Source organism: Homo sapiens, chromosome 14, assembly GCF_000001405.40.
Source record: "Homo sapiens chromosome 14, GRCh38.p14 Primary Assembly".
Taxonomy (NCBI): domain Eukaryota; kingdom Metazoa; phylum Chordata; class Mammalia; order Primates; family Hominidae; genus Homo; species Homo sapiens.
The window spans coordinates 105,480,424-105,505,802 of record NC_000014.9 but is presented as its reverse complement, the minus strand read 5'-3'; the positions used below and the strand labels follow the sequence as shown (position 1 = coordinate 105,505,802).

General features: G+C 64.2%; 2 protein-coding genes across 6 annotated transcripts, besides 18 other annotated features; both read right to left on the bottom strand.

Moving 5' to 3' along the window:
• Nucleotides 1-6,554: 6,554 nt before the first annotated feature.
• On the bottom strand, nt 6,555-15,948 carry TEDC1 (tubulin epsilon and delta complex 1). Of its 5 annotated transcripts, NM_001367178.1 has the most exons (9): nt 14,281-14,557; nt 14,103-14,181; nt 13,494-13,696; nt 13,069-13,224; nt 11,870-11,968; nt 9,717-9,923; nt 8,360-8,446; nt 7,826-8,005; nt 6,555-7,186 (listed from the first exon to the last, which is right to left on the bottom strand). In NM_001367178.1, exons 1-9 carry the CDS (start codon nt 14,425-14,427, stop codon nt 6,857-6,859), a joined length of 1,488 nt encoding a protein of 495 aa, NP_001354107.1. In that variant the 5' UTR covers nt 14,428-14,557; the 3' UTR covers nt 6,555-6,856. The 5 variants fall into 5 exon arrangements, with proteins under 5 accessions (NP_001354107.1, NP_001185912.1, NP_001128349.1 ...); NM_001198983.2 differs by lacking the exons at nt 9,717-9,923; nt 11,870-11,968; nt 14,281-14,557 and adding exons at nt 14,671-14,822; nt 15,818-15,948; NM_001134877.1 differs by lacking the exons at nt 9,717-9,923; nt 11,870-11,968; nt 14,281-14,557 and adding exons at nt 14,677-14,822; nt 15,566-15,620.
• Nucleotides 6,697-6,991: a silencer, noted in NCBI's record as "tiled region #9919; HepG2 Repressive DNase matched - State 1:Tss". NCBI's record gives its function as "represses a minimal TATA promoter and a strong SV40 promoter by Sharpr-MPRA in HepG2 cells {active_cell/tissue: HepG2}" and the evidence as "EXISTENCE:reporter gene assay evidence [ECO:0000049][PMID:27701403]".
• Nucleotides 13,734-14,477: an enhancer, noted in NCBI's record as "H3K27ac-H3K4me1 hESC enhancer chr14:105957663-105958406 (GRCh37/hg19 assembly coordinates)". NCBI's record gives its function as "activates a minimal SCP1, AML or CMV promoter by ChIP-STARR-seq in primed H9 embryonic stem cells {active_cell/tissue: H9 hESC(primed)}" and the evidence as "EXISTENCE:reporter gene assay evidence [ECO:0000049][PMID:30033119]".
• Nucleotides 13,734-15,621: a biological region, named in NCBI's record as "hESC enhancers GRCh37_chr14:105956919-105957662 and GRCh37_chr14:105957663-105958406".
• Nucleotides 14,232-14,601: a silencer, noted in NCBI's record as "silent region_6252". NCBI's record gives its function as "represses an Ori minimal core promoter by ATAC-STARR-seq in GM12878 lymphoblastoid cells {active_cell/tissue: GM12878}" and the evidence as "EXISTENCE:reporter gene assay evidence [ECO:0000049][PMID:35858748]".
• Nucleotides 14,478-15,221: an enhancer, noted in NCBI's record as "OCT4-NANOG-H3K27ac-H3K4me1 hESC enhancer chr14:105956919-105957662 (GRCh37/hg19 assembly coordinates)". NCBI's record gives its function as "activates a minimal SCP1, AML or CMV promoter by ChIP-STARR-seq in primed H9 embryonic stem cells {active_cell/tissue: H9 hESC(primed)}" and the evidence as "EXISTENCE:reporter gene assay evidence [ECO:0000049][PMID:30033119]".
• Nucleotides 14,652-14,901: an enhancer, noted in NCBI's record as "active region_9150". NCBI's record gives its function as "activates an Ori minimal core promoter by ATAC-STARR-seq in GM12878 lymphoblastoid cells {active_cell/tissue: GM12878}" and the evidence as "EXISTENCE:reporter gene assay evidence [ECO:0000049][PMID:35858748]".
• Nucleotides 14,992-15,621: a silencer, noted in NCBI's record as "silent region_6251". NCBI's record gives its function as "represses an Ori minimal core promoter by ATAC-STARR-seq in GM12878 lymphoblastoid cells {active_cell/tissue: GM12878}" and the evidence as "EXISTENCE:reporter gene assay evidence [ECO:0000049][PMID:35858748]".
• Nucleotides 15,632-15,681: a silencer, noted in NCBI's record as "silent region_6250". NCBI's record gives its function as "represses an Ori minimal core promoter by ATAC-STARR-seq in GM12878 lymphoblastoid cells {active_cell/tissue: GM12878}" and the evidence as "EXISTENCE:reporter gene assay evidence [ECO:0000049][PMID:35858748]".
• Nucleotides 15,812-15,941: a silencer, noted in NCBI's record as "silent region_6249". NCBI's record gives its function as "represses an Ori minimal core promoter by ATAC-STARR-seq in GM12878 lymphoblastoid cells {active_cell/tissue: GM12878}" and the evidence as "EXISTENCE:reporter gene assay evidence [ECO:0000049][PMID:35858748]".
• CRIP1 (cysteine rich protein 1) lies at nt 16,856-18,917 on the bottom strand. The gene is made up of 6 exons (NM_001311.5): nt 18,831-18,917; nt 18,504-18,604; nt 17,543-17,637; nt 17,415-17,472; nt 17,287-17,332; nt 16,856-17,140 (listed from the first exon to the last, which is right to left on the bottom strand). The coding sequence occupies exons 2-5, from the start codon at nt 18,541-18,543 to the stop codon at nt 17,292-17,294; spliced, it is 234 nt and encodes a 77-aa protein (NP_001302.1). The 5' UTR covers nt 18,544-18,604; nt 18,831-18,917; the 3' UTR covers nt 16,856-17,140; nt 17,287-17,291.
• Nucleotides 17,160-17,731: an enhancer, noted in NCBI's record as "H3K27ac-H3K4me1 hESC enhancer chr14:105954409-105954980 (GRCh37/hg19 assembly coordinates)". NCBI's record gives its function as "activates a minimal SCP1, AML or CMV promoter by ChIP-STARR-seq in naive H9 embryonic stem cells {active_cell/tissue: H9 hESC(naive)}" and the evidence as "EXISTENCE:reporter gene assay evidence [ECO:0000049][PMID:30033119]".
• Nucleotides 17,978-18,187: a silencer, noted in NCBI's record as "silent region_6248". NCBI's record gives its function as "represses an Ori minimal core promoter by ATAC-STARR-seq in GM12878 lymphoblastoid cells {active_cell/tissue: GM12878}" and the evidence as "EXISTENCE:reporter gene assay evidence [ECO:0000049][PMID:35858748]".
• Nucleotides 18,358-18,487: a silencer, noted in NCBI's record as "silent region_6247". NCBI's record gives its function as "represses an Ori minimal core promoter by ATAC-STARR-seq in GM12878 lymphoblastoid cells {active_cell/tissue: GM12878}" and the evidence as "EXISTENCE:reporter gene assay evidence [ECO:0000049][PMID:35858748]".
• Nucleotides 18,538-18,637: a silencer, noted in NCBI's record as "silent region_6246". NCBI's record gives its function as "represses an Ori minimal core promoter by ATAC-STARR-seq in GM12878 lymphoblastoid cells {active_cell/tissue: GM12878}" and the evidence as "EXISTENCE:reporter gene assay evidence [ECO:0000049][PMID:35858748]".
• Nucleotides 18,648-18,697: a silencer, noted in NCBI's record as "silent region_6245". NCBI's record gives its function as "represses an Ori minimal core promoter by ATAC-STARR-seq in GM12878 lymphoblastoid cells {active_cell/tissue: GM12878}" and the evidence as "EXISTENCE:reporter gene assay evidence [ECO:0000049][PMID:35858748]".
• Nucleotides 23,387-23,706: an enhancer, noted in NCBI's record as "active region_9149". NCBI's record gives its function as "activates an Ori minimal core promoter by ATAC-STARR-seq in GM12878 lymphoblastoid cells {active_cell/tissue: GM12878}" and the evidence as "EXISTENCE:reporter gene assay evidence [ECO:0000049][PMID:35858748]".
• Nucleotides 24,265-24,986: an enhancer, noted in NCBI's record as "H3K27ac-H3K4me1 hESC enhancer chr14:105947154-105947875 (GRCh37/hg19 assembly coordinates)". NCBI's record gives its function as "activates a minimal SCP1, AML or CMV promoter by ChIP-STARR-seq in naive H9 embryonic stem cells {active_cell/tissue: H9 hESC(naive)}" and the evidence as "EXISTENCE:reporter gene assay evidence [ECO:0000049][PMID:30033119]".
• Nucleotides 24,487-24,596: an enhancer, noted in NCBI's record as "active region_9148". NCBI's record gives its function as "activates an Ori minimal core promoter by ATAC-STARR-seq in GM12878 lymphoblastoid cells {active_cell/tissue: GM12878}" and the evidence as "EXISTENCE:reporter gene assay evidence [ECO:0000049][PMID:35858748]".
• Nucleotides 24,727-24,876: a silencer, noted in NCBI's record as "silent region_6244". NCBI's record gives its function as "represses an Ori minimal core promoter by ATAC-STARR-seq in GM12878 lymphoblastoid cells {active_cell/tissue: GM12878}" and the evidence as "EXISTENCE:reporter gene assay evidence [ECO:0000049][PMID:35858748]".

The following is a 25,379-nucleotide window of genomic DNA, read 5'->3' as shown; positions in this document are numbered from 1 at the left end:
AGACCTTAACAGACCCAGACATGCTATAAGTAAGTAATTACAATTCTTTTAATATTTAAGTTAAGGGTTTTTTTTTCAATTTATATGACTTTTTTTTCCCCAAAACTGCTACTAAGTTGTTAGGACATAAATACTAAGGCATTTGGCCCTAACAAACAGAACTGTTGGGTTTTTCTTTCGCCCAAGGGGTGCTGTAAAGAATCACTGGGACACTAAGAGTGCCATGAACTGAGAAAGTGCAGGAATCCCTGAGTTAGGACAATGCCAGCTGCTGTCACAAACAGACCCCAAGAAGTGACTGGAGGGAGGGGCTGGCAGTGGCTGCCACATTCCACTAGTTCCTGCACACTCCAGGATCTGCAAGGGCTGCAGTTTCTCCATTACATGCCGGACAAGAGCCGCCTGCCCACCTGGCCCCCGGGTACAAGGGTGACGCCTGGCAGGGCCGCTCAGTAGAAGGCCCCATCCATAAAGGGCACCAGTGAGGCCGTCCTCGGAGGAGACCCTGGCCCACACGCGTTGCGCTCTCAGCTAAGACCCCTCGTCCACGGGCCCAGGGTGCTGGCTTTACTTCCCGGGATGGGCCTGCTGGTCCCTCTCCTTCGGGATAAGCGTTAGGGTGTCCGCCCTCCTGGGCTGGCTTTTCCCAAAGTCTCTTCCTGCTGGTGCAGTCCTGGGGCCCAGGCCTTCTGCAGCCAGGCTCACGTCTCTTTAGCAACTTGATTCTATCAAAAACCAGCAGTGGGGCCAGGCACAGTGGCTCACGCCCGTAATCCCAGCACTTTGGGAGGTCGAGGCGGGCGGATCACGAGGTCAGGAGATTGAGACCAGCCTGGCTAACACGGTGAAATCCCGTCTCTGTTAAAAATACAAAAAGCAGCCGGGCATGGTGGCACGCATCTGTAGTCCCAGCTACTCAAGAGGCTGAGGCAGGAGAATCCTTTGAACCCAGGAGGTGGAGGTTGCAGTGAGCCGAGATCACGCCACTGCACTCCAGCCTGGGCGACAGAGCGAGACTCTGTCTCAAAAAAAAACAAAAAAAAAAGTAGGCATCTCGCCAGTGCCCCGCAGCCTCCCACCTAGCTGCTCATCTAGCAGTTCTGTCCCTCACTGTCGACAGCCACGCCCTAGGAGGACGTTCACAGCAAGGTCCTGGCCCTTCAGTTAACGGAGGGATGTTAAATTAATAGGACTTCGTGGCTAAACGGCTCTTGAACTTCCTGTACTCTGGGCTCAGGAGCAGCAGGTTTTTCCCACAGGCAAGGCCCCGAACTCCCTCCCTCTCTACTGCCCTTTGGTTCTGCTCTCATGCCGGCAAGGCCTCGCCCCAGCCCATCTCCTAGGGGCGACGTGGGGCCAGGTGCACACGGCCCTCGCCAGTAACATCCAGGCCTTTTCCTCCCTCTTCCCTGAAACTACAGGGCTGGCAGTGGTGTGTCTGCTTTCCAAGTCACTGGAGCACACTCTGATCACAATGCCAGCTTCATGCCAGGGCCCCACCAGCCTGGCATCCCCTCCAGCCAGGCACCCCCACCTCCCAGGGCTCCACCAGCCCGGGGCATCACCAGCCCAGCGTCCCCTCTAGCCAGGCGCCCCCACCAGCCCAGAGCTCCTCCACCCCAGCACCCCACCAGCCCAGTGCCCCCTCCAGCCTGGCGCCCCCCCCTCCAGCCTGGCGGTCCCCTCCGATACCCCAACCGGCCCAGCGCCCCCACCAGCCCAGGGCTCTGCCCGCCCAACATCCCCCACCAGCCCGGCACCCCCGCCAGCTGGGTGTCCTCTCCAGCCTGGCGCCCCCACCAGCCCGGCGCCCCCTCCAGCCCAGTGCCTCCCCAAGCCCGGTGCCTCCCACCAGCGTGACAAGCCATGGGTCCCCCACTTCAAGGCCCACATTTTTTTATTAGCTGAGGTCGTGGTAGCTGTTGTACCACCTCACTAAGCGCGTCTTTTTCTGTAGTTTTGATGCTGACGTCTTGCCCATTCCTGTGCCCCGACCACCCAGCTGCGTGGAGCAGCCCCCACTCTCTGTGGATAAAAGAACTTTCTTCCTACAAGACGGTCATTCCTGCGTCTGTGTGTTACCCTCCCTGATTACAACAAATCCTAGGCTCATTTTAAAAAGATACAGGCCCCACATTTAGGAGGCTGCAGCCCAAACCTCTGCAGCCAGCATCCTATGTCTTCGCTGCAGTTTATGGCAAGACCCTGGAGACCTGGTGAGAGCACAGCCCTGGTGTCCTCCTCCGTGGCCCCCCTCATCCCCCTCTGTCAGGTGTGTAGCCCCCACTCCAAGCGTGATCTTCAGCCCCCGGCCCTGTCCCTCAGCAGCACAGGTGATAAGCCCCTCCGTCCGGAAGCACTGTCTTTACTTGGCCACCAAGACCCCCAACTTGACCGCACCCCCACTTGCCAGCCATCCCCTCTGCCCTGCCTGTGCTTCCTACCACTGTGCAGGCCCAGGCTCAGGCCTCAGACCCAGGCCCCTCACCAGCCCCAGGCCCCTCACCAGCCCCGGGCCCCTCACCAGCCCCGGGCCCACCGCACCCTGGGGCCCTGCCCTGCCCTGCCCTGCCTCCCACCCCGGCTGAGCCCACCCACACCCTGCATTCTCACATTCCATTCTCCAGCCCCAAATTCCAGGTTCACGCAGCCAACTGCCCACCTGACACCCACTAAGATGCCAAGATTGTGAGCAGGTCAGAGCCGGGCTACCAAGCAGCAGTGCCCACCCCAGCCTGCCCAGTTCTCAAACCACCATGGGCCCAGCCACCACAGCTCCCTACATCACACCCGCAACCAAGACAGCGGCCAATCCTGTGCCCCAGTGGGCCAGAACCCACCTAGTCCAGCTGTCCTCCAAACCCACCTCCTCTGAGCCACAGAACCTCCCCACCAGCGGATGGGGGCAGAAGCCTGGGCCCTGCCTACTCTCAGCTTGTGCCCCCCTTGGGGCTGAGCCCCGGCGGGCACCCATGTCCTCCAGCTGTGAGCACTTTCCTCTATGGTGTTTGCTCTTCCCTCTGGGACATGGCCATGGGGCCCCTCAGAATGGCACATATTGGGCACCACGTGACTTCAGGTAGAATGACTGAGGGACCAGCCCAGCACAGCCAGGCAGGGCAGCGAGAGGCCGGGCAGGACACCCTCCGACCACTCTGAGGACAGGGATGGCTGCAGAGCCAATGCAGGCTCACACGCAGGGACAGACAGCTGGAGGCTGAGCCCAGGCGCAGGACTTCAGAGCCACCAGCCACAACCACACCCAAGGCCATGGGGTAGACAAGGGCAGTGTGGACTGAGCGGTCAGGGTCCCCATGAGATAAACAGGAACCACTCAGAAACACTTCTCTCCTGCCAGGAGCGGTGGCCTACGCCTGTAATCCCGGCACTTTGGGAGGTAGAGGCAGGCAGATCACTTGAGCCCAGGAGTTTGGGACCAGCCTGGGCGGCATGGTGAAACCCTGCGTCTACTAAAAATGAAAATACAAAAATTAGCTGGGCATGGTGGCACGCGCCTGTAGTCTCAGCCACTCAGGAGGCTGAGATGGGAGGATTAGTTGATCCCGGAAGATCGAGGCTGCAGTCCCAGCCACTCAGGAGGCTGAGGTGGGAGGATGACTTGATCCCGGAAGATCAAGGCTGCAGTCCCAGCCACTCAGGAGGCTGAGGTGGGAGGATGACTTGATCCTGGAAGATGGAGGCTGCAGTGAGCTGACTGTGCCACTGAGTGACAGAGCAACATCTTGTCTCAAAAAAAAAAAAAAAAAAAAGAGAAACCCTCCTGTCCAACCAAGGCGGGACTTCAGAGGCCGTAGGACACATTCCCTGGGCTCCAGGGGGAGGTGCGACCACCACAGGCCCCAGAGGTTGTGATCCTGACCTGGCCGGAGTCCCAACCAGCCTCATCCCTCAAGGCAGGGTCAGCCAGGACCAGGTGAAGGAGCCCTGAAGTAGTGCAGAAAGGGAAGCAGAGGCCAGGAAGGCTGAGCCAGCCGGAACAGAATAGGCAAGCGTATGAGACACTGCACTTCCATCTCATTAATCGTTTTTTCTTTTTCATATAGGGTCTCACTCTGTTGCCCAGGCTGGAGTGCAGTAACAAGATCATAGCTCACTTGGCCTCATAGCCTTGGTCTCCAGGCTCAAGCGATCCTCCTGTCTCGGCCTCCCTTCTATGTAGCTGGGACTACAGGCACATGCCACTACACCCAGCTGCTTTTTTTATTTTTTGTAGTGGTGGGGCCTCCCTATGTTGCCCAGGCTGGTCTTGATCTCCCAGGCTCATGCAATCCTCCCATCCAGGCCTCCCAAAGCGCTGGGATTACAGGCATGAGCCACTGCATCCAGCTGCACCACCTCTTAATAAACATTAGTTTTGGCCGGGCACAGTGGTTCATGCCTGTAATCCCAGCACTTTGGGAGGCCGAGGCGGGTGGATCACCTGAGGTCAGGAGTTCAAGACCAGCCTGACCAATACGATGAAACCCCATCTCTACTAAAAATACAAAAATTGGCCGGGCATGGTGGCGCACTGCTGTAATCCCAGCTACTCAGAAGGCTGAGGCAGGAGAATCGCTTGAACCCGGGAGGCGGAGGTTGCAGTGAGCCGAAACTGCGCCACTGTACTCCAGCCTGGGTGACAAGAGCAAGACTCTGTCTTAAAAAAAAAAAAATTTCTAGTTTTGTTGAAGTTTATTGCACCTTCCAGTAAGCGCACTTGGTCTCACGCGCCAGGTGACCTCTGCTGTTTCCTGTGAGGCCATCTTCGCCTCTGTCTTCCTGGGAAGCAAACTGCACTGTCCTTACACAGATGCTGGCTCGTCCAGGGTGCAGGGCCCTACTGCCCCAGCCAGGCCGACACCGTGGGCCTCCAGGCTGTTCCGTGGGTCTGGGGCAGGTCGCAAGACAGAAGGGAAAAGCTGCAGCTGGCCTTAAGACAGGAAGTCTATGGGGACAGAGGGGATGGGGGTCTTGAGGATGACTCGGGCTCCTGAAGGCAGGGGAGGGAGGCAGGAGAGTGTCAGAGAGGCAGTGTTGTGAGGACCTCCATGCCTGCTCTGAGCTGGGGGCCACACAGCCCTGCCTGCCCATCCAGCTTTAACCCTGTGGACTGGCAACCCCCGACCCACAGAACAAGAGGGCGTGACTTCAGGCGACTCGAGCCACTGCATGTGTGATAACAACTAGAGCTGAAGGCCAGGGTCCCATCCCTGCTCCATCATGACGGGCAGCACTAGGGCACCCTGCCGGCTTCCCTCCCGCAGGCCCTGGCCTCTCAGGCCCTCTCCACCGCCAGCATCATGGGGGCACACGCGCACCCAGGACTTGGACTGCCCTGAATTCACGCATCACATCGAGAGGTGACAACTCCATGACAATAAGCCTGCTTTTGTGCTCGTAAAAATCAAGTCCCCCAGGCCCGTGAGAGTCCTGGTTCTGTGGCAGTTTATAAAAAGCAGGGCTTCAAGTGGACTTGCTCCCAGCCCAAGAAGAGCCCTGTCCGGCAGTCGAGGGTTGCTGAGAGCACGGGGGACTTTCAGAGGCTGCAGGTGGAGGAGGGTTGAGGTCTGAGGGCCTGGAACAGAGCTGGAACCAGCAGGTGGAGGTGGCAGGAGCCCTTAGGAGGAGCTGGCGGAGGGGCCGGAGGGTGGCGCAGGCCAGGGAGCATTTGCACAAATCCTGGTGGCCCACAGGAGGCCCAGCTGCATGAGAGGGTCAGAGAGGTGCTCCTGAAAGGGAGGCCTTGCTGGCCACGGCCAGGTCTTGCCGGTGCTCCTGGGTCCCATGCACCGGAATGGGAAGGCAGGCGGTCTAGGCGTGTCCACCCCTGGGACCAAGGAGGCCCAGACAGGCTGAGACTGGAGCTGGAGCCCCAGGTGTGTGCTGTCACTCAGGCACATGCCCCAGTGAGAGCATGTTCTGGCAGGGGGAATGGACGTGGCCTCGGGGCAGGGCCGGCAGGAGCCTGGAGGTGGCCCCACAAGCCCCATCGTCTGCCCACCTCAGGTCAGAGTCCGACAGCCCCAGAAGAGAGGGGAGCCCGGCAAGGCAGGCAGGGCTGGAGGCCTCAGGGCCACCTGTGTCTGCTGGTGGGGGGCGGGGGGGGTGCCATGAGGCCGACCCTCCTTCCGCCAGGCTGAGGCACGTCCCCCGGACACAGATGGCTCTTTGTCAGGGATGAGCTGAGCTTGCTGAGCAGCCTCTGGAACAAAGCCCCTCTGTCCATGCTGTGCCTCCCCACCCGGAGCACCACCTCCCGGGAAGGAGCAGAGCCCCGGGCTCCCATCCGGCGCACCCACCAGGCACAGCCTTGGCCGGAGGTGGGGGCAGCTGTGCTCACAGCCCAGGGCCAGGCCCACAGCGGGAGCCCAAATGAAGGGGGGCGGGGCCGAGATAATCCCGCTCCAGGGAGGCCTGTGCCACCTCCCCGTGGTCCTGCCACTCACCAGTGCTGGGGTATGCATGTCCTCCAGCACCTGGCCAGCCCTACACTGGCCACCACTGCCCAGGGGCTCCTCCACGCTCCCACCCCCAAACAGGGAAACCCGACAGGGTGGCAGGGGGAGGGCCAGCGGCAGGAAAGCTGCTACAATTTATTTCCGAGTCCCCTCCAGACCACCAGGCTGAGCCTGTCACGACCTCCTCAAGGGACCAGCCATTCCTGTCCCCAGTGCTGCTAGCCACAGGCCTGGGATCCGGCCAGAGTCAGCCCAGCCCCACCCCTGGAGCGAGCATGTGACGTGGGCTCTGCATCTGCATCGTCCCTGCGGCCACCTGGCCTTGGAATCTGCTCCTCCAAGACCCAGCCAGGCTGGGCCAGGGCAGGCTTCCCACACGAGGGCCCGTCGACAGGCCCTCAGCGTCCAGGTGGCGGGATCCAGATGAGACCAGGGCGGGCTCCCACCAGCCTGGCCAGTTCCTGCCGACACTGTCCCTGTAGTCGACGTAGCACCGCCTCCAGGCAGGCCTCCTGGCTCCTCAGCGTCCTGATCACCACAGCTGCCCGCAGGTCCCGGTCCCCTGCTGCCCCATCCTCTCGTCTCACCAGCCGGTGTGGCCCATGGGGCTGGGCCGGGCCACCGTCTCGCTCCCAGCACTGCTGTAGAGCTCCCAGCTCCTTTTCCACAGCCTCCCGAGAGGCCCGCCGCGCGGCACTCCACTCTGGCCCCCGTCCACAGCCTCCAGCCTGCGTGGGACACAATGGCAATGGCTCTGTCCCCCCAGGACACTGGCCTCAGGCTCCCTGAGCATTCCCTGAGCCCAGACTCAGGTGCAGGCGCTGCAGGCATGCGGGAAACGCCCATGCTCTTCAGAGAGGCTTACTGAAAATTTTAAGGGGAAAATCATGCCTGCAATTTAAGTTAAAACTCTTCAGAAAAAGAAAATAGATGGAGCCAACACAGCCCCGTGTTCACAGCCATGAACCTGCGCAGGTTAAGCGGGCAGCTCTGAGTCTAGGGTGGAGGCCCAGGTGGCCACCAGGAGGTTAGACGGGTCCCAGGCAGGTGTGGAGGAGTGACTACTACCGTGTGATGCATGTGTGGCGGACGCATGGGAGCAGCAGGGCCCACACAGCACGGGCTTCCCTCCCTCATGCAAAGAATCAGACAACAGACCTCCCGCAGGAGGGGCGGGGGCTGTCTCGCAGCAGCTGCGGCTCCTCACCAGGTGCCCTCCCGCTCCCTCAGGGTACGTGCCTCTAAGTGTGTCCCCTGCCATGCTTGACAAATGCAACTGTAGGATTCAGCAAGTCCAAAGTGCCCTCAGGTCAGCCATCCCCCGAAGGTGGGGCTGGGCTGGTGCCCAGAGCGAGGCTGGCACTCACCTTGGCCTCCCAGGCCGCCCGCCTGCGCTCCGCAGCCTCCCGCAGCTCCTCCTCCAGTGCCTGCAGCTCCCGCACTACCAGGTCCAACTCGCCACCCCCGCGCTCGGGGACCCAGGGCAGGAAGGTGGGCTGTGAGGCTGCAGCAGGCACCTCCGGGGCACAGGTGCCCAGGACCGTGTCCTACAGAGACCCAAGTGAGACAGCGTGCACCAAGCCAAGGGGACAGAGGGACAGAGGGCAAAGAGGGCAGTGGTAGTCCCCCAGGTCCCACAGCGGGCTGGATGCCACCATCTCAGCAACTGTGACGTCCAGGGAGGCACAAAGGCCACACTCTAGAAGGCCATGGAGCTGAGGGCGGGGGCAGCAGTGAGCCTCCCCAGAAGGCGAGTGGAAGTCCTAGAAAGAGCCTACACTAGGTCTGTGGCCTCCCTAAAAGCCCCTCTTCCTGTCTGGAAAACAGGAAGATCCCGAATGCCCCACCTGGGGGCTGCTGTGGGAAGGGATGCCGGGAGAGGGATGCGCGGGCTTCCTCACCATCCACCGCCAGAAGACCAGCTCAGAGCGCCGCCACGCCAGGACAGCCTCCAGGCGCTGGTTCTCACGCTCCAGAGTCCGCAGCAGCTGGAAGGCAAACGGCAGCTGGCCTAGAACCTCACACGGGACCCCATGGACAGACAGTCGGATGGACAGCTGGACCCAGCGCCGACACCCGGCCCAACGCCTAGCTCACGCCCCGCCCCTGCAGCCCTCCCCTGCCTGCGCCCAGGTTCTCTGGCCAGAGCGATGAGCAGGGCACCCTGGTGTGGTGCGGACGCCACAGCCCACCTGTCCTTTCTGCAGTGCAGGGCAGCCCCCAACCAGTGCACGGCCAGGCCCTGCCTGCCAGGCAAGAGCTGCCCCCCGGCTCTGAGGACATCCGCTGTCCCCCACACCAGCCCCACTGCCAGTCCAACAAGGTCAGGGACAGGTCCAGGTGCCTCTCAAGCCTAGACCTCTGCCCCACAGCCCTCACTGAATGCGGGCTGTATCCGGGGACTGCAGGCGGACGGGGAGGCCCCAAACGAAGGAGCAAGCCAGGCTCTGGGGGAGGGAAAACCCATCCCCTGTAACTTCAGGGACCCCCTAAGGCAGTGAGGAGTCTGCCTAGTGACCCAGGTGGCAGAGAAGGCAGAGCTGAGCCACACTTGACATTCCCAAGTGAAGGGTCAGGCAGGGCCAGGAGACCCCGCCCTGCCTGCCCCATGGCCCTGCACAAAGGTACCTGCCCACAGTGCCCACAGACAGGCGGCTGGAGAATGGCCAGGACACAGCAGCTGCTCTGCCCACACACGGAAGGCCTCCCAGGTTCGCTCATGGGCTATCTGTACCAGTGACCCTGGGCCCGGGGCAAGGGGACCCCTGCTGGGGACAGGCCCTCTACACCTGAATCCTGCCCCACTCTACCCCTGCTTCCCCCGGGAACCCAGAGTGTGGAGCAGGCTGCAGGGGCCTGGGGCTCCAGCAGTGGGCTGGGGGGCAGATAGGAATGGCCTTGAACACCAGGTCCAACCCAGCCCCTCTGGGGCGGAGCAGAGCAGAGGCAGGCAGGCCTGCGGTCAGAGAATATGAGGACAGGGAGGTCTGTGGGCGGTGTGGGAGCTGGAGCAGGCTGGTGCCGGGGCTGCAGCCCACCTGCCCACCCCAGCACGCCACAAGAAGAGCAAAGGCCTCCACCATGGGTACGGCCGCTTCAACACACCTGACAGAAGGCAATCACCACAGTTCCCAAGAAGGTAAGGGCCAGGGGTGGGAGCAGGCAGGAGAGGAGGAGCAAACACACCCCCTCGCCACCCCCTCCCACCCACCCCCAAGTCCTGCGGTCTCCACTTCCCTGCCAGCCTCCCCGACTTACCGCCCTAAAAGGGGAGAGCAGGCTGCAGGCTGAGGCCCCACCAGGATCCAAGGGTGCTGCCCAGTCACCCGGCAGCAGACCTGGCTGCTCACATACCAGCCACAGATCATTCCAGAAGGTTCTGGGACCCATCCCAGGAGTGCAGAAGGAGTGCAGGCACTTTGGGTAGGCCAGGTCCAGGTTTTGGGCAGCTCCCGCTCCAGAAACCTTGGAAGGAAGCCAGCCATGGCCCCAGTCCACCTGGCCAGTGCCGCACACAGCTTCGGGGAGAGGGCGGGGCCTCACTTCCAGGCCCCCCCAGCCCACCACAGAGGGTGGTCCCACAGAGGCACTGGGCAGGAGCAGCCTGGGGCCAGGGCAGCCTCTCCTCTGCCCCAACCCAGGGGTCCCAGGGGCCAGAAGCCTGGGCTTCGCTGAGCCGCCTCTACAAGGCAGGTAGGGACAAGGGCAGACCAGGACGCCCGGATGCTGCCTCAGCACTGCCAACGCCAGTGCAGGCTGACTGGGTGGGCGCCAGCCCGGCTTCAGCCAGGGACACAGGTCCAGCTGGCACCAGGGGCCAGGCAGGCGTCAGGGGTTGGGCCCTGTAAGCCCATGAGTGAGGCATGCAATCCCCCAGGCTTGGGCTGCAGAGCTGGAACCCACAGGCCCTTGCTACGAGCAGGAAGCCCCAGCAGACACAAGACTAGGGGCCAGGAGCCAGGCCATCCGCCTCTGACCCCTAGGTCCCCCTGGGCAGGCCTGGGATGAGGTACAGGGGCCAAGTCTCTGGGATTGGAGAGGGAAGAGGCAGAGAAGGGGGACTGGGTCTGGAAGAAGAGGTCACACCAGCCCTGAGCCTCTGCCCTCCTGCCCGGCCATATGCACCTGGAGCAGGACAGTGCCAGCCCGTCACTCAGGACAGTACAGAGCCCAGCCCAAGTGGTTGGCTCACGCCTGTAATCCCAGCACTCTGGGAGGTCGAGGCAGGTGGATCACCAGAGGTCAGGAGTTCGAGACCAGCCTGGCCAACGTGGCAAAACCCCGTCTCTACTAAAAATACAAAAAAATTAGCCGGACGTGGTGACAGGTGCCTGTAGTCCCAGCTACTCAGGAGGTTGAGATAGGAAAATCGCTTGAACCCAGGAGACGGAGGTTGCAGTGAGCCAAGACTGTGCCACTGCATGCCAGCCTGGGCGACACAGCGAGACTCTGTCTCAAATAAATAAATAAAATAAATTAAAAGAGTGGCAGCCAGCCCTGCCCTATCCCCTGAAACCAAGCCAGCCAAGAGGAAGAAGCCAGTGATGACGGGCGGGCAGACCCCCAGAAAGAAGGATGAGGATGGAAGGCCAGCAGCAGGGTGCGAGGAAGCGGCCATCCCTGGGGAAGATGCCTGGGGCTAGGTCAACCCTAACACTTGGGTCAGTGCTCCAGCAGCCCCAGTCAGAGGAGGATGCTGTCTCCCCAAGGTCACACAGCCACCTGGGGCTCAGAGGCAGGTTTTCCTCCAGGTCTATGCTATCCAGGGCTCAGGATCTGCCTGGGACCACAGAGCCCCGGTCGCCGGGGGCAGGCCTGCCTAGAAAGCGCCGTGCCCCCGGGTGGTCCGGGTGTAGCAAGCAGAACGGGACTGCAAGTCTCCAGGGCCTATGGAGCTGGCTCCAGCTTGGGAGGCTCGGTCCAGCACACCCCATGTGGGCCTGGCCTTGGGTTCTGAAGGGCAGTTGTCCCCTCCCACAGTCAGCCCTGTGCCCAACCCTTCACCCAGTGTGGGCTGGCCCCCCACACCCCTAGGTGCCCCCTGACACACCAAGTGAGACCTGCTTGAGATGCCAACACCACCAGCTCACACCTGAGATCTGTGTTCCTTTATTCCAACAGCCTGCCCTTAGCCAGCTGCCTGCCCAGCCCAGGCTCCTGCGTCCTGGGCCCCCACCCGTGCCACGTCTTGATTTGTGGAAGGGAAGGGTGAGTGGCCCATGAGGCTAGGAGAGGCCCAGAGAAGCTGTCTGTCACCCAGGCTGGCAATGATCAGTGGCAGACATGCAGAGACACCCACCGCTGGAGGCCCAAGAGCTGCCCCGCCCCCAGGCCCCTCCCACCCTGGGCAGTCCCCCTGCTGTGCCCCCCAGCCCACCCCCACCCCCCCGCAGCAGCTTGCCCGCCCTCACCTGCTGGCCTCCCTCTGGGTCCCTGAGCATCTCTGCTTCAGTGACAGACAGATGGCTAAGGCTCTGGTCGCTGTGGCAGCCGCGTGTGTACAGGTGGATCTAAAACAGGTAGTGCAGACCCCAGGCTGAGTGGCAGTCAAGCACCTCCCCCAACGCTGAGTCTCCATGAGTCCAGGGAGGTCGGCCATCAGAGCCCACCTCCCAGATGAGGAAAGAGGGCTCAGAGAAAGCCACTCCTTGCCTGAGGTTGGCGGGGCTGGGCTGGGTGCAGAACAACCATCAGCACCGCTGGGGTCTCCTGCAAGGGGGCGCCAGGCAATTTCACTGATGGCCTCCCCACCCCGCCCAGCTTCCAAGCAGCAGCAAGATTGGAGTGGGGTGCCCTGGCTTCCCCAGCAGCATCGGGGGAGGAACAGCCTCTGGACAGGCACAGCAGTTCAGCCAGGCTCACAGTGGGGACATGAACGACTGCTTGGATCTAGGGAAATGGGGAAGGCTCCCCAAAAAAGGGAGGCTGGAAGGTGGCACAGAGGGTCACAGGTAGGCACATAAGTAAGCGGAGCAGCTGGTGCCAAGGCCAGGCCCGACGGGGTGAGAGGTCCCTGGAAAGGCCAGCTGAGCAACAGACCCTCTGCAAGGGTGGGATGGGGGGGTCTCCAAGGAGTCCCGCGCTGGTGGGAGCCCGCCGCTGCCACAGACCCACCTGTCAGCGCTGGCCTCACAGTGGACACACCACTGGGTACCTGTGCCCCTGAGCCAGCCCCTGCCACCTTCAGGACCCCACAGGAGCTGTCCACCCCGCAAGTCAGCCCCCACCAGGATGTGGTGGCAACAGGAGCTGTCTTCCTCCCCCTCCAGTGCCCAGGAGGGAGTGGCTTTCATGGCACAGACCCCATCCCACTGTTCACAGAGCTGGAAGTCCACTGGTAACTTTTGGGAACAGAAAGGCAAATTCTGTGAGCTCTCTGACACCCGTTTCTGCCCACCATTGCCCACCCCACTGGGCTCCCTGCCCAGCCCTGCCCCCTACAAGGACCACCGGGAACCACGGGCTCAGGCTTTGGGTAAGCCAGGGCAGGAAGGCCCACATCCAGCCAAAAGCCTGTGCCAGGCCTCACGGGACGGGCTGCAGGGACTGGCAGCTGGCGGCCTGCAGCACGGGACACAGCCCCTGAGTGGAAGCCCTGTGCCAGCTCTACCTTGCTCAGGAGGGCGCACTGCTCCTGCTGACTGGACACCAGCTGGCGCCACCGGAACCGCAGCTTTCCCATCAGCCACTGCACATGGCGGACATCCACAGGACCCTCTGCTTCCATGTGGGGTGCAGGTGGGCCAGGGCTGGCCAGGGCCTCACACTGGAGAGGGGCAAGGGTCAGGCCCTGCTCCCACCCCACCCTGCCCCCCAGAAAAGGCCAGGATGGAGACGGTAGTGGAGGCACAGCCAAAAACAACGGGTGCTCCCTGCACAGGGAGCCTCCGTGCTTTCAGCTGGGCAGCTGGGTAACCCTTCATGGGACTGCCCTGAGGAGCAAAGCAGACAGAGGGGGCTGACCCAGGCCTGCCCTTGCTCTGGCCCCAGGAGTTGAGACCAGGGCTGGCTCAGCTCACCCTCACCCACACGCACCTGGCACACAGTCATCTCGTCACCCAGAGGCACTCGGGCCTGGGCCAGCATCTGCTCGGGCACAGGTCCTCGGGCCAAGAGCCAGGACAGAGCCAGCAGCAGCTCCCGACTGCCCTGCGAGCCATCCTCAGGTAGTTGTGCCAGTGCCAGCCTCGGGTAGCCCTGGGAGCATAGTGCTGACTTCACCAAGCGGGCTTGGACCTCTAGGACAGAAGACCACCACCTTAGGGGGACCACCCACCTGGAGGTGACACCACCTGGATCCCTCCAGAGACCCCCACAGGTCACTTGAGCAGAAGCTCAAGGCCTAGTTCAGAAGAGATGATAGTGGGAGAGCTAGAACTCAGACCAGGATGAGGAGACCAGGGGCCAACAGGGACGTCCCCAGGGCTTTGTAGGAGCAGAAGCCAGTGCTACCCAAGGGGGTGGAGCTAGGGCCCATCAGGGGGCGTGGCTTACCGGGGAAGGCGGAGTTTTGAGGAGCAAGCGGGGTCAGTGTTGGGTGGGGGCTAGAGCCTGCCGGGGCGGGGCTTACTGGGGAAGGCGGGGCTTTACAGGAGTAGGCGGGGCCAGTGCTACCGGGTGGGCGGGGCCAGGAGCGGGGCTTACCCAGGGCGAGCGATGCCAAGGCGTTGCCCGCAGGGAGTGGCGAGAGCACACGGAAGAGGAGCTGCCAGAGCGCGGAGGTCTGCGGAAAATAAAAAGCGGGCGGTCAGCGGAGCCGGCCCAACTCCCTGCGAGGGCCCGGGACCCCACCCGGCCCGCCTGCCCTCCGCGAGAGCGTCACCGCCTCCGGACGGTCGAACTTGGCGCGGCGGAAGATCTCGGGGCTGGGTCCCGAGGGCAGCGACCGACTCAACGCGGCGATGGCCTCAGGCAGGGCCCCGGCCCGGGCCCCAGCCGCGGGGTCCACCCGCTGCCGCCGCCTCCCCATGCAGCCAGCACCAGCCTCTTTCGGATCGCCCGCCTCCGCCGCGGCCCGGGGCCTGCGTCCAATCACCGCACGGGCCGGGTTTAGTGCGGCGGCTGGGACCTGCGCCCAGTTACCGCTCCGGCTGGAACCTGAGCCCAATCATGGCACGGGCCGGGTCCAGCGCCCAATCACCGCGCCGGCTGGGACCTGCGCCCAATCACCGCGCTGGCCGAGACCTGTACCCAATCACCGCGCTCCCGAGACCTGTACCCAATCACCGCGCTGGCCGGACATGCATCCAATCACTGCGTCGGCAGGGTCCCGCCTTCGTGTCCAAGCCCAATGAACGGTTCCCCTGGAGTTTGAGTGTAGTCTATTCTGTCTCGTGCGGACCCACTTCCGGGCTCCTGGCAGGGCTGTTGATATGGAGAACACCGCAGAGTCCGCCCTTGCAGGCTCAATCGTCACGACACCCGACACCCCGCCTCGCTCAGACCCCACCCATCAGCGCCTCACGCCCCTTGGCAACCTAGCAACCGCCGGGCGGGAGCGCGCAGACTCCGGAAGGCGCCCTGTGGGGCCGCTTACGCAGTCGGAGCGGACGAGCCTCGCCCCATCGCGCCGCCTTCCAGGCTGGGCCGCCAGGAGGCGCCCAGAGCCCGCCGCGCCGCACAGCGCAGACCCCAGCGCGGCCGGCCCCTGGCCCCTGGCGCGAAGTCCCGGGCAGCTCCCCCGCCCCGAACGCGCAGCCGGAGCCCGCGGCAGCCTCCTCAGGCGCTCCCGATCCTCGCCCGCCCGCGGCAGCGCTTCCCTCTGCCGCCGCCACGGAGCAGCCCCGGAGGAAGCCGGCGCATGGAAGCAGCTGCTGCCCGGGCGCCGCTGAGCCGGGCCCGCCTGCACGGGCGGCCCCGAAAGACGCGGGCCGGGAGGAACGTGGGGCTGTCTGCGGGGATGGAAGGTCGGGCTGGCTTCTGGCCAGCGGCGCCTCCGGGCATTCGTGAAGACCCCGGGCAGCGTGTCACCGGGGCTGTTCCCGCGATGCCCCTGCACCTCCCGGGGCTGCGAGGACGGCGGGAGAGGGAAACTCAGTCCTCCCTGGACCCCCAGCCCTGGCTGGACACGCCCACGAGAGGCGCAGCCCGAGGGGTCCCGGCCCCACCTTTCTTCTCGGCCTCCTTCGCCCCCGACCTCCTCTTCCAGGCGGCCCTCCCGGCCCCGCCTCGGGGCCCCCCCCCCAGCAAGCCCCTCCTCTCCCTCCCCGCACGCCCTCCGTCCTTCCCCGCCCGCAGCCTCCTTCCCTCCGGCGCATCGCGATCTCCTTCACGGCGCCAGTAGGAGGACTGCGCTCCTCACCCCGCCCACGCGGGTTTCTTGAAGCTAAGGGGCCTCCTCCTCGGAGCGCCTACTGCACCTGCCGAGCTACAGGGCGGCGGGAGCCAGGGGGATGGGAGCAGGAGGTGGGGAACCGCGGCGCCACAGAACTTGGCAGGAGGCGTGGGGGAGATGGCGGAGCAGCTCTGCGGCCTTGTTCAGCGCTCTCCCAACCCCCGAGCTTGCGGATTTTTCTCTGCACCAGGTGTCGCTGTCTCAAAGATCTCAGTTCCCTCAGCTCCACCCACCACCGTCCAGCCAGAAACCAGCCTCACCTCAGCACCCCCTGCCCCCATCCCATCAAAAGTGCTGTGGCTCCCAGCTCTTGGAATTCCAGGAATCCCCCAATCACCCCCACACACCCCACCCTGCGGGCCACCCTAGACTGCCCCCACAGCACCTGTCGAGCTGAGCCTGCAGCACACCCACCACAGCCCTAAGGCAGGGCCAGACCCCTGGGCTCTTTTAAACCAGTGGGTGTCCGGAGGGGTGGCCTTCTGCCAAGGCCGGTATCTAAGTAGCCAGTGTGGGGAAGAGGGTCTCTGAAGGTGGCCAGTCAGCAGCGGCTGGCTGAGTTGACAAGGGAGTTTCCAGAAGGCCCCCCAGCCCCTGTGCACGGCCGGTACTCAAGTTCCCCACTGGACGCCGGGCCACTGGGTAAGTCCCTGGGCACAGGGTAGATGGCAGATGAGGACGCACATGGGGCAGTGGTGCCTGGGTCAGGGGCAGAGCAGCCTCATCAGGCCCTTGCAGAAGCTGGGCCTGGCCTGGAGGGGTGGGGAATGAGGACAGGGTTGGGGGGTGGAAAGGAGGAAGGCCAGGAGTTCCCATAACTCCCCCAGAGCCTCTCAGAAAGGGAGCCAGCATGAGCTGATTCACCCTCTGACCCGAGGCCAGCCTCGCCCGCCCCCAGGCCTCTCGGCCTGCTGAGCCTTTGGCTGGTGGCCTGCAAAGCCCCCCTTCCCCACTCCCAGAAGGCCAGGAGGGCTCAGAGGCACTTCTGAGGATCTGGGAGTTGTCGAGGCGGACTCAGAGTGCCAGGGCTGGGTGCGGGCTGTCTAGGGTGGCCTGGACTCACCCTGCACAGGGAGCCCTCGCCTATGAGACCCTGGAACGGCCCCCTGGGGAGGGCAATGGGCAGCAGAAGAGCAGGCGCCGGTGGCAGAGCCTGCTGCCAGGACCCCACTGCAGCTCCCTTGGCACTCCCCAGCACACACGCGCATGTACACACACAGGTTTTCCAAGTGTTCAGGTTTACTGAGAGCATTAGGGGCAACAAGGGAGCCCTGGGCATCTGGGGACAAGGCCTGGCATTTGCCTGGACAGTGGCCCTGCAAGCAGCCAAGGATGGGGTCTCCACCACCTGTGCAGAGAGAGACAGGCACAGACGTGAGTGCAGCGTCCACGGCCTCCTTTGGGGCCCACGAGTGGTCAGGCCTCCCTGGGAGGGGGCATCCCCATCCCGAGGGTGGAACCAGGAGGCAGGATAGGGGGTGGGGTCCTACCTACCTGGTTTACTTGAAAGTGTGGCTCTCGGCTCCGCCCCGCCCAAAGCCTGCAGAGAAGGTGGAAAAAGTCAACAGGCTGGGGTGGAGGAGGCTGTGGGGTGGGGTGGGGTGGGGATGACGGGAGCATACCTTTAGGCCCAAACATGGCTGCGTAGCAGGGGTGGTTGCAGTAGGGTTTGCCTTCGTGCTGCAAAGAGAAGGGCCGTGAGGGGGTGCCATCACCCCTGGCCCCTGCCACCAGGGTGGGTCCCACCTACCTCAGCGTGGCCCCCAGAGGTCAGCGTCTTCCCACATTTCTCGCACTTCAGGCAGGGCCGATGCCAGTCCTTGCCCAGAGAGGTCACCCTCTCGGCTGCAGAGGCACAGACAGGCCCCGGTGAGACGCTGCAGGACGCGGCGCCTACCCACCACTGGCGTACCCGCCTCTTGCAGCCAGCTCTGCCCAAGGCCCTGTGCACTTAGCCCGCATCCGCCCAGCCTGGCAGCCCACCCTAAGGTCTCAGCACCCTCCATGAGGGGAACATCTCCAATCCCCAGAGCCAATACAACTAAACAAAGCGCGGGGTCGCTGGTCCCCGGGGCACTTTCGGGTGCGGCCGGGAATCTTGCTCCTGAAGGCTGGGTGGGGCTAGAGGGCGAGGCCGAGGGTCAGGGGTCGCGGCTTAGGTCAGCAGGGCCTGGGCCTGGCTGCCTGCTTTCAGCCCCGGGCCTCTGCGGTGGCAAGGGTGGAGCCTGCGACAGCCCTTCTCGGCGGGGACAGGGGTGACTTCCCACTTCCTCCCTCCCCTCGGGGCGCGCGGGCGCGGGGCAGGGAGGCGGGCGCCCGGGATCGCGCCCCGGGCGTCGGTTTCCGCGTCTGTTTCCACTTAGCGCTGGGGGGCGCGGCCCCAGCCCCGCGTTCCTTCCAGCCCTGCGGGTCCCCCACTCAGGGCGCGCCTGAGAGGAAACGGCAGAGACCGTAGGACCCAGAGACGGGGAGGCTCAGAGCCAGAGGTAGCCCGCCGAGCACAGCAAGACCACTAGCAGGCAGAGATCGCCAGGGCCCTCGGACGCAGGGGCCTCCACCCTCATCCCGGGGCAGGCGGCGGGCCAGGCTGAGGCGTTTTCAGGCTGGGGCGCCGCCCCAGGGACCCAGCGCCCCCGGTCCTCCTGAGCGGTCCCCAGCCTCGTCGCCCCGTCGGCGGCGCCTCCTCGCGGGGCCGGTGTGGGCGCGCTCACCGAAGTACACCTCCTTGTTGCACTTGGGACACTTGGGCATGACGGCTCCGGGTCCGGTGCAGGCGGCAGCGGCTGGGGCGGCACGGGCTGCAGGCGCGAGACTGGGTGGATCCGGCCTGGTCCGCGCCTTTCAGGGACCCCGGGACCCCGCCCCTTGGAGACCCCGCCCCTCGCGCCCCGCCCTCTGAACCCAGGACTTGGACCCTGGGGACCTCGAATCTAGGCCCAGGGCCCAAGAAAGATCATCTGGTCCACCCCCGCCTTCAGGCAGGACCCGGGCCTGACTGAGGACGGAGCGCGGGGGGGCAGGGGGCCATGGGGACTTACTGAGAGGGCGCAGCTCTTTAGGCGAGTTCAAGCCGCGCCCCTAGCCCAGCGCTGTGATGTCTCCCGGGTCCAGTTCCGAGGCAAAAGGCTCACCCGCAGCAGGAAACGCCGCTCCCACCCCCAGCCCTACCCCACCGGCACCCGCCCGAACCCCAGATCTGCCCGGGCCAGGACTGGACCAAACATCACTAAAATGCAAAGAGATGCAAAGCAGCCCGCGCGCTGATCCTGCCCTCCCCAGGACGGAGGGTCGGGGACAATTGCCGGAGAGCCCCCGCTGTTGCCCCCCACCGAGGAACCCACTCTGACCTTCCATCCCACGCAGGGTTACGAGGCCGCCCCTGTCAGTCCCCTCACTCCCAAGGGACGTCCCCGCCTCTGCTAGCTCCCCTGACCTCCGCTGCTCTGGGAGGTCCATCGGACCGCAGCGGGAACATCCCCGGGGAATTCAAAAGCGGGGACTCCCAGAGAGGGGAGCTGTAGCTTGAGGACCGATCGGCTGCGGGGGCTGCGGGGGCTGGGGTTTCGGCCGGCAAAAGAGAGTTCAGCCACCCCCAGGCCGGCTCGGAGATGCCCGGACCGGGCGCAGGGAGGGGCCCTTATCTCTGCGGGTAGCGCCCAGGGCGGCCAGAGCGGTCCAAGTACGCTGCAAAGTTGAGGCGGAGGATGGTCCCGGTGCCAGGCGGAGTCTGTCCCGCCTCACCCGCCCCCCAGATTCAGGAGGGCCAAGGGGGCTGCGCTGGCCTCGGGCTTTGGGGTCAGCCCTCTAGCTGACTGGCCAGCCTCAGGAAGGGAGCCCAGGTCACTGTCAGCCCCCTCTCCTGTCACTGAGCAGGGGAGCCCTCTCTCTGCAGGCCCTTCACCTCCATGCTGCATGGAGCTCCCTGGGAGCTCCCACAGCACAAGGGCGGTGCTGCCCTTCCTCCCCACCCACCATCCCTCCTGTCAGCCATGTTAACCAGCGTCCTTATCTCCCCTCGATCTCCACTGGGCCTGTGCTGGCCCTGTCCCCGCTGGGGGCGCTGGAGACCATCCTCCTGGGCCCCAGGAGCCGCTGGCCTACCGCTGTCGGGCCCTGAGCCCTAACTGCACCTGTGATCCCAACCTCACTTTCCCTGAATCCTACCGCACCCCTGTCGGCACCTCGAGGCCTGCACTTAGAGGAAGAGAAGCCGCCTGCCCTGCCCTGTCTGCCACCAGTCCCCAGCTTGGGGAGAGGGCAGGGGCAGCAGGGCTGTAGGACGGCCAAGGCACAGGCGTCTGGCACAGAGGCCACACTCCAGAGAGCCCCACACCAGCACACCCAGCCCAAGGCCACATCCTGCTTGCCCTCCTCCTGGCGCCCCTCTAAGGCCACAGTTCTGTCCCCCGACTGGGGCTAAGTCCTGGGGTCTGATAGGACATTCCACAGGGGCCCATTGGAGCCCTCCTCATCCCCCATTCTGAGACCTCAGAGATAAGGTTTCCAGAGTAGGGGTGCGCTCCTGTCCTGCAAACTTGGAACCCCCACTCTCCAGCCCATGAGCCTTGAAACCCACTCTGAGGTCTGGGCCCACCTGCCATCTCCACTGAGTGTGGGGCATCGTGGGACAAACCTGCAGACAAGCAGAGGGAGAGGCAGAGGCACCAAGAAGGGGGAGAGGCCAGGGGAGCCCGGACAGTATTGGGGAGGCCGGGGGCTCTGTCACTGCACTTTCCCTGGGGCGTGCGCTGCCCCCAAGCCCCAGGGTGCCCAGCACCGCTGTCCACACCCCCACCAGGATGACGTGCTCCGGGTGCAGAGGTGCAGGGCAAGTGCCTGATGCACACGTGTGTGCCTGGTGCCCGTGGACATACCCGTATGGGTGTGTCCATCAGGGGTCTCTGGGGTCCCCGCGAGCATGTGTGTGGTCCCTCTCGCAGTTGTCCGCCCATATTTCTGTCAAGCCTCCTCCCCAGCCCATCCCAGCTCCTGGCCCGGTACCTTGCAGCTCATGTACGGACATTAGCCAGGGCAGATAGGGACAATGACCCAGTCCTTGTCCTCCCCTCTACCCGCCCCCAGGGATGGTCCCTTCCCCCACACTCTGGACTCCAACCCACCCTGCCCATGGAGGAGCCCCTCCTTGAAAACCAGGGTGATGAGTCCATTCCTGGCCTTCCCTGCTGTTGCTTCCTGTCACCATGGTCACGGGTGGGGTGGGGGGCAGGATGCCCTCGCCGTGGGGCCACGCCTTCTGTGTTGGCTCACAGCAGTTTTTCCACTCAACTCAGACACCCACACTCACAGATACACACAGACACATGCACAGATACACACGCACACCCTCACTGACACAGACATAACACAGAGACACACACACAGTCACATACACACGATCCCTGGAACCCTTCCTAAACTTCAGCCACAGACTGACATGCCCCTCAGACCCCCTTTCTCCTGTGCTCCCCATCTACCCTGTGCTCTGGGGGTGGGGACCCCTCATCAGCTGCAGGACCCCAGCTTCCAGCTCCTTTCTCCACCCACACTCCGTGTTCAGGCCATCCCACCCCCAACGCCCACCTCCATCTGAGCAGGTCAGGGTCCTGCCGGCTTCCGGGACACACTGCCCCCGACCAGCCCCAGCCCAGTCACTAGGCCTCAGGCTTTGTCAGCTCTCACCTGGCCGGGGATGCACCTAGGACAGGGCACTGACCTCGTCCATGGGGCCAGCCTGACTCAGGCCCACTGGGCTGGCTGGAAACCCCAGCCCCTGTACCTCTCAGCCCACTCTGCAGGGTGCTGGTGGCATTTGTTTCAGGAACAAACAGAGGACAGAGTGGTCGGGGCAGGGACTCGGAGCTCCGCAGCTGCTCGCCCCAGGCTGCCTCTATGCCCAGAACATTCCACCCTGCACCTGGACAGCAAGAGGGCCCTAGACCCGGGGGTGGCGGGGGCTGCTGCAGTGTTCCGGGTGCATCTTGGAGGCCGCCTCTGTCTGCTCAGCCCGCCCTCTGCACACATCCCTGCGCCCTGGCCTGCTCCTGCTGGCCCTCTGGCTGAAGCCCACAGGGGCTGGGGTGCGGCAGCCTGCAGCCAGGCCTGGGCTCCAGGAACCAGGGTAACCCAGGAGGCAGGGCTGGGCCCCACTGTCCCTGAGGAATCCCACCGTCCACCCCTCTAGGAACATTTTGCTCCTCTGGGCCCACAGCCCCTTCCTCTGCAGACTCAGCTTGGGGACTTGCCTTGAGATGCCCCTCCTTGTCCTTGGAGCCCTCCCCACCACCTCCCCTTGCCCCATGCCCAGGCTGAGAGTGTGGGCAGGTGTGAGGTGCCCTCCCGGGGCTGCAGGCCAGCCAGGCCTGTCCTGGATGCTCTGCAACCAGGTGCCCTGCACTGCCAACATGCATGCCAGGACAGCGCGGAGCCGGCCACGCCCAGCTCAGGCCTCCCCAGGGCCCACCTCCCTGCCCCTCCCTCTCGGCCCAGCTGAGTCTCAGACACTCCCAAGTTCCCAGGGTCTATTTTCAGCTGCTTGTCTCCCGGGACCCCCTGTCTGGCCTGTGGTCTGGCCCCGGTTGGCCGTGCTGGGCTCAGTGGCCATTCCTGCCCTGGGCAGACCTGGCATGGGGCTGGCATGGGACAGGCTTACCAGACAGGCACCTCCTGTCCTCCAGGCCTCACCTCCAGCCCCGAGCAGGTGGGAAGGCTGCGCAGTTCCTCCTCTCCCAGAGCAGACGTGGCAAGGTGTGGAAAGAGGGAAGAAGGGGGCTCCCTCAGCCAGCCCTGCCCCCAGCGGGGCTGCACCCCTGCCTGGCTTCCACAGACTGGCCAGATGGGGTGCCCCTGACCTCCCTCCCCTCTCTTGAGGCTGGGCCTAGTACCCAGCATCCTACAGCCATAGCCCAGGAATTCCAGAGGCTGGAATTCCAGCCTCCCCGCCTGGCAGCTGGACCCCACATCCCCACCGGAAGCCCATCAGGCGCTGGGAAAAGTGCTGCCCATACCTGGCCGTCCTGGTCCTCCAGCCTGCCCTTGCCTGTGCCCAGCCCTCCACGGTCCAGAGCTAGGGGCCCACGGCACTGGGTGATTTCCTCACATCCACCTCTCAGGCTACCGCCGGCCCCCAATAAGCTGGACCCAGGGCCGGGAGGGAGGTGTGCCCCACCAAGTCCTGTGGAGGGTCAGGGTCAGGGGCGCTAGTCCCAGCTGTGTGGAGTCCGAAGGGGTCCAGGAATTAGGGAAGACCCTGGGAGCAGGGGTACCCAGGGCCGATGCTGCGGTCACTGGCTGGGCAGGGCCTGGAGGAAGGGTGCTGGGGGTCCCGGGCAGGGGCCAGAAGAAGTGGAGACAGGGGTAGCTGCAGGCTGAGCTGGCCCCACAAAGATGCCTGGCTGGGGGCACCAGTGAGGGCCCCACCAGCCCAGGTTGGAGTGGGGGATACCTTGGAGGGACCTGGCCAGGAGACACGGGAAGACTGGACAGTGGGGGTACAGACGGGGAGCGGCACAGCTCGGTTCAACAGAGCGCCGGGGTGTGAGCTTAGCCCCATGGGGCACCAGGGCCTTGTGGATCCCTGGACTTGGTTCCCAGGGGTTCTGAAGGGGAGGGATGGAGCAGATAGCATTTCAGAGCCGCCTCACTGGCCAGGCATAGGTCCAAGTAGAAGAGAGTGAAGGTTGAGGGCAGAGCAGCCCCCAAGGCAGGGACAGAGAAGCAGGCACGCCCAAAGGCAGAAGAGCCCATTCCAGATTCCCCTCCCTTTTAGGGGATATCTGGGTCTGTGGGCACCCAAGGGAGCACCTGGCTGGCAGGCGGCTGGGAGGGCATAGCTTCCTGGAGCTGGAGACACCAAGCGAGCCCTGTTAGTGCCGTGGGCACCCAGCCAACCCCAGCAACACCGCCTAGCGACGCAGTCCAGACAAACAGTAGCAACAACCGCCCCGGTTTCCATGACAATGACTTGGAAACAAACACGGCAGGCAGGCGTCATCCTCAAACCGGCCCCGCAGGAAATGGTCCTGCCCCAGCCAGACCTGGGGTCGGGGGTGCTGCTGTCCCTGGCGGGGTCAGGGGCTGATCTCTGGAGGAGACCCCTTACCCACATCATCCCCGCAACCGACCCTGGAAGGTCTTCTGGCACACAAATCCCCCACCGCCGCCCAGGTTTTAGAGAAGGGCACACCACCCACCACTCTCCTCACGACATAGTTTCCACTGGAGGCTCCCAAGGGAGGGGGGTCCAGCTGAGCCCTCCAGTCCCCCCCCCGCCCCCCGCCCCGCCAAGCTGAAAGCAGGAATTTCCCATGCAACCCTGGGAGCCCGCAGCAAGGGCGGAGACGGGCACTCCGGAAATTCTCAGTTCTCCCGAAACAACCCCCCAACACACACAAGGAAGCCTGGGCCTGGCAGGAGGGGATGAGAAGGGGAACCATCCCAGCCTCTCCTGTGAGCAGGGGTCTGGAACCTGCCTGATCCTCCCCTCTGCCTGGGGTTGGGGACTGGCCGTCCCTTCCGCAACGTCAGGCCCCGGGGGTTTTGGCTGAATTCCAGGTGGGAGGAGACCGCACTGGGTGCCTGGCTGGAGGGCAGCTGTGGTACGGCTGGACCCCGGAGCCAGCCCAGGCCCCGCCAGGACATGGATGGCTGCTCTCGGGACAATGGGCTCAGCATCCAGGCTCAGCTCCGTCTGAGCCCATGGGCTGGAGGGTGGCCAGGCAGGGAGCTGTGCCAACGGCTGGGAGCAGGGAAGAGGCGTAAAGCCCCGGCCACCCTGTAGCACTGGGGACAGGGGCCTGGAGGTGGCCAGGTCTGAGTGCCCCTCACTGAAGGAAGGGCCAAGGCAACTTCGGTGTGGTGCCAGGAGCAGAGGAGCATAAACCAAGGTGGGAAGTCCAGATGGCGCCAGGACAGGGCTCAGCCACTGGGGAAGGTCTCCACGTTTCTGCTCTGTGCTGCCAGAATGGGACAGTGCGCCCTCTAGTGGGCACCCGAGGAGTGGCGCACAGCAAAGGCGGGGCGCGGGGGAGGGGAGAGCTCCTTGGAGCCGCCAGCGCCCCTGGCTGAAAGGGCAGAGCCTGGACCATGAAGACGCCAGGGGCGAGTCGGTCATCACTAAAACCTTCACCAGAACACTTGGGCAGGGATTCTGTCCCTGGGCCACACCCAAGGCAGGCCTGTCCACAAAAGCCTGTCCATCACCCTATGGACAAAAGCTGGAAACAGCCACGCTGAGCCTCTCCAGTCCTTGCTCTGACCAGAGCCCCCAAACCCTCCTGCGCATCCCAGTCCAGTCTGGGGCTGCCAGAGACCTCTGTCCCACCCGACCTTCGCCGGCTTCCCCATTCTCTGCCCAGGACCCCTCCTCTGGTCCCCGGCCCCCTTCCCTCCTCAGCCACACTCTGCTCTCAGGGCGGACCCCTCCTGCGCTTGCCAGGGTCCACACACCCAGGCAGCTCCGGGTTCTCAGGCCTGCTGTTGGTATTTTCAGGGTTCTAGGTTCAACTTTTCTCCAAGGCTCTGTCCTCCATGGACCCCACCCTCACCTGACCCTGGCCAGGACCCTGGCCCCGGAATGCCTCCCACCTTCC

What these genes read in the sequence shown, in the direction of transcription:
- TEDC1 (NM_001367178.1), bottom strand. Translation starts at nt 14,427, where the DNA reads ATGGGGAGGCGGCGGCAGCGGGTGGACCCCGCGGCTGGGGCCCGGGCC. An exon ending in AGTTCGACCGTCCGGAGGCG is followed by an intron (nt 14,182 to 14,280) that starts GTGACGCTCTCG and finishes TATTTTCCGCAG; the next exon opens with ACCTCCGCGCTCTGGCAGCT. An exon ending in AGTGCGCCCTCCTGAGCAAG is followed by an intron (nt 11,969 to 13,068) that starts GTAGAGCTGGCA and finishes TACCTGTTTTAG; the next exon opens with ATCCACCTGTACACACGCGG.
- CRIP1 (NM_001311.5), bottom strand. Translation starts at nt 18,543, where the DNA reads ATGCCCAAGTGTCCCAAGTGCAACAAGGAGGTGTACTTCG. An exon ending in CAACAAGGAGGTGTACTTCG is followed by an intron (nt 17,638 to 18,503) that starts GTGAGCGCGCCC and finishes GTGCCTCTGCAG; the next exon opens with CCGAGAGGGTGACCTCTCTG. An exon ending in CCTCTGGGGGCCACGCTGAG is followed by an intron (nt 17,473 to 17,542) that starts GTAGGTGGGACC and finishes TTCTCTTTGCAG; the next exon opens with CACGAAGGCAAACCCTACTG.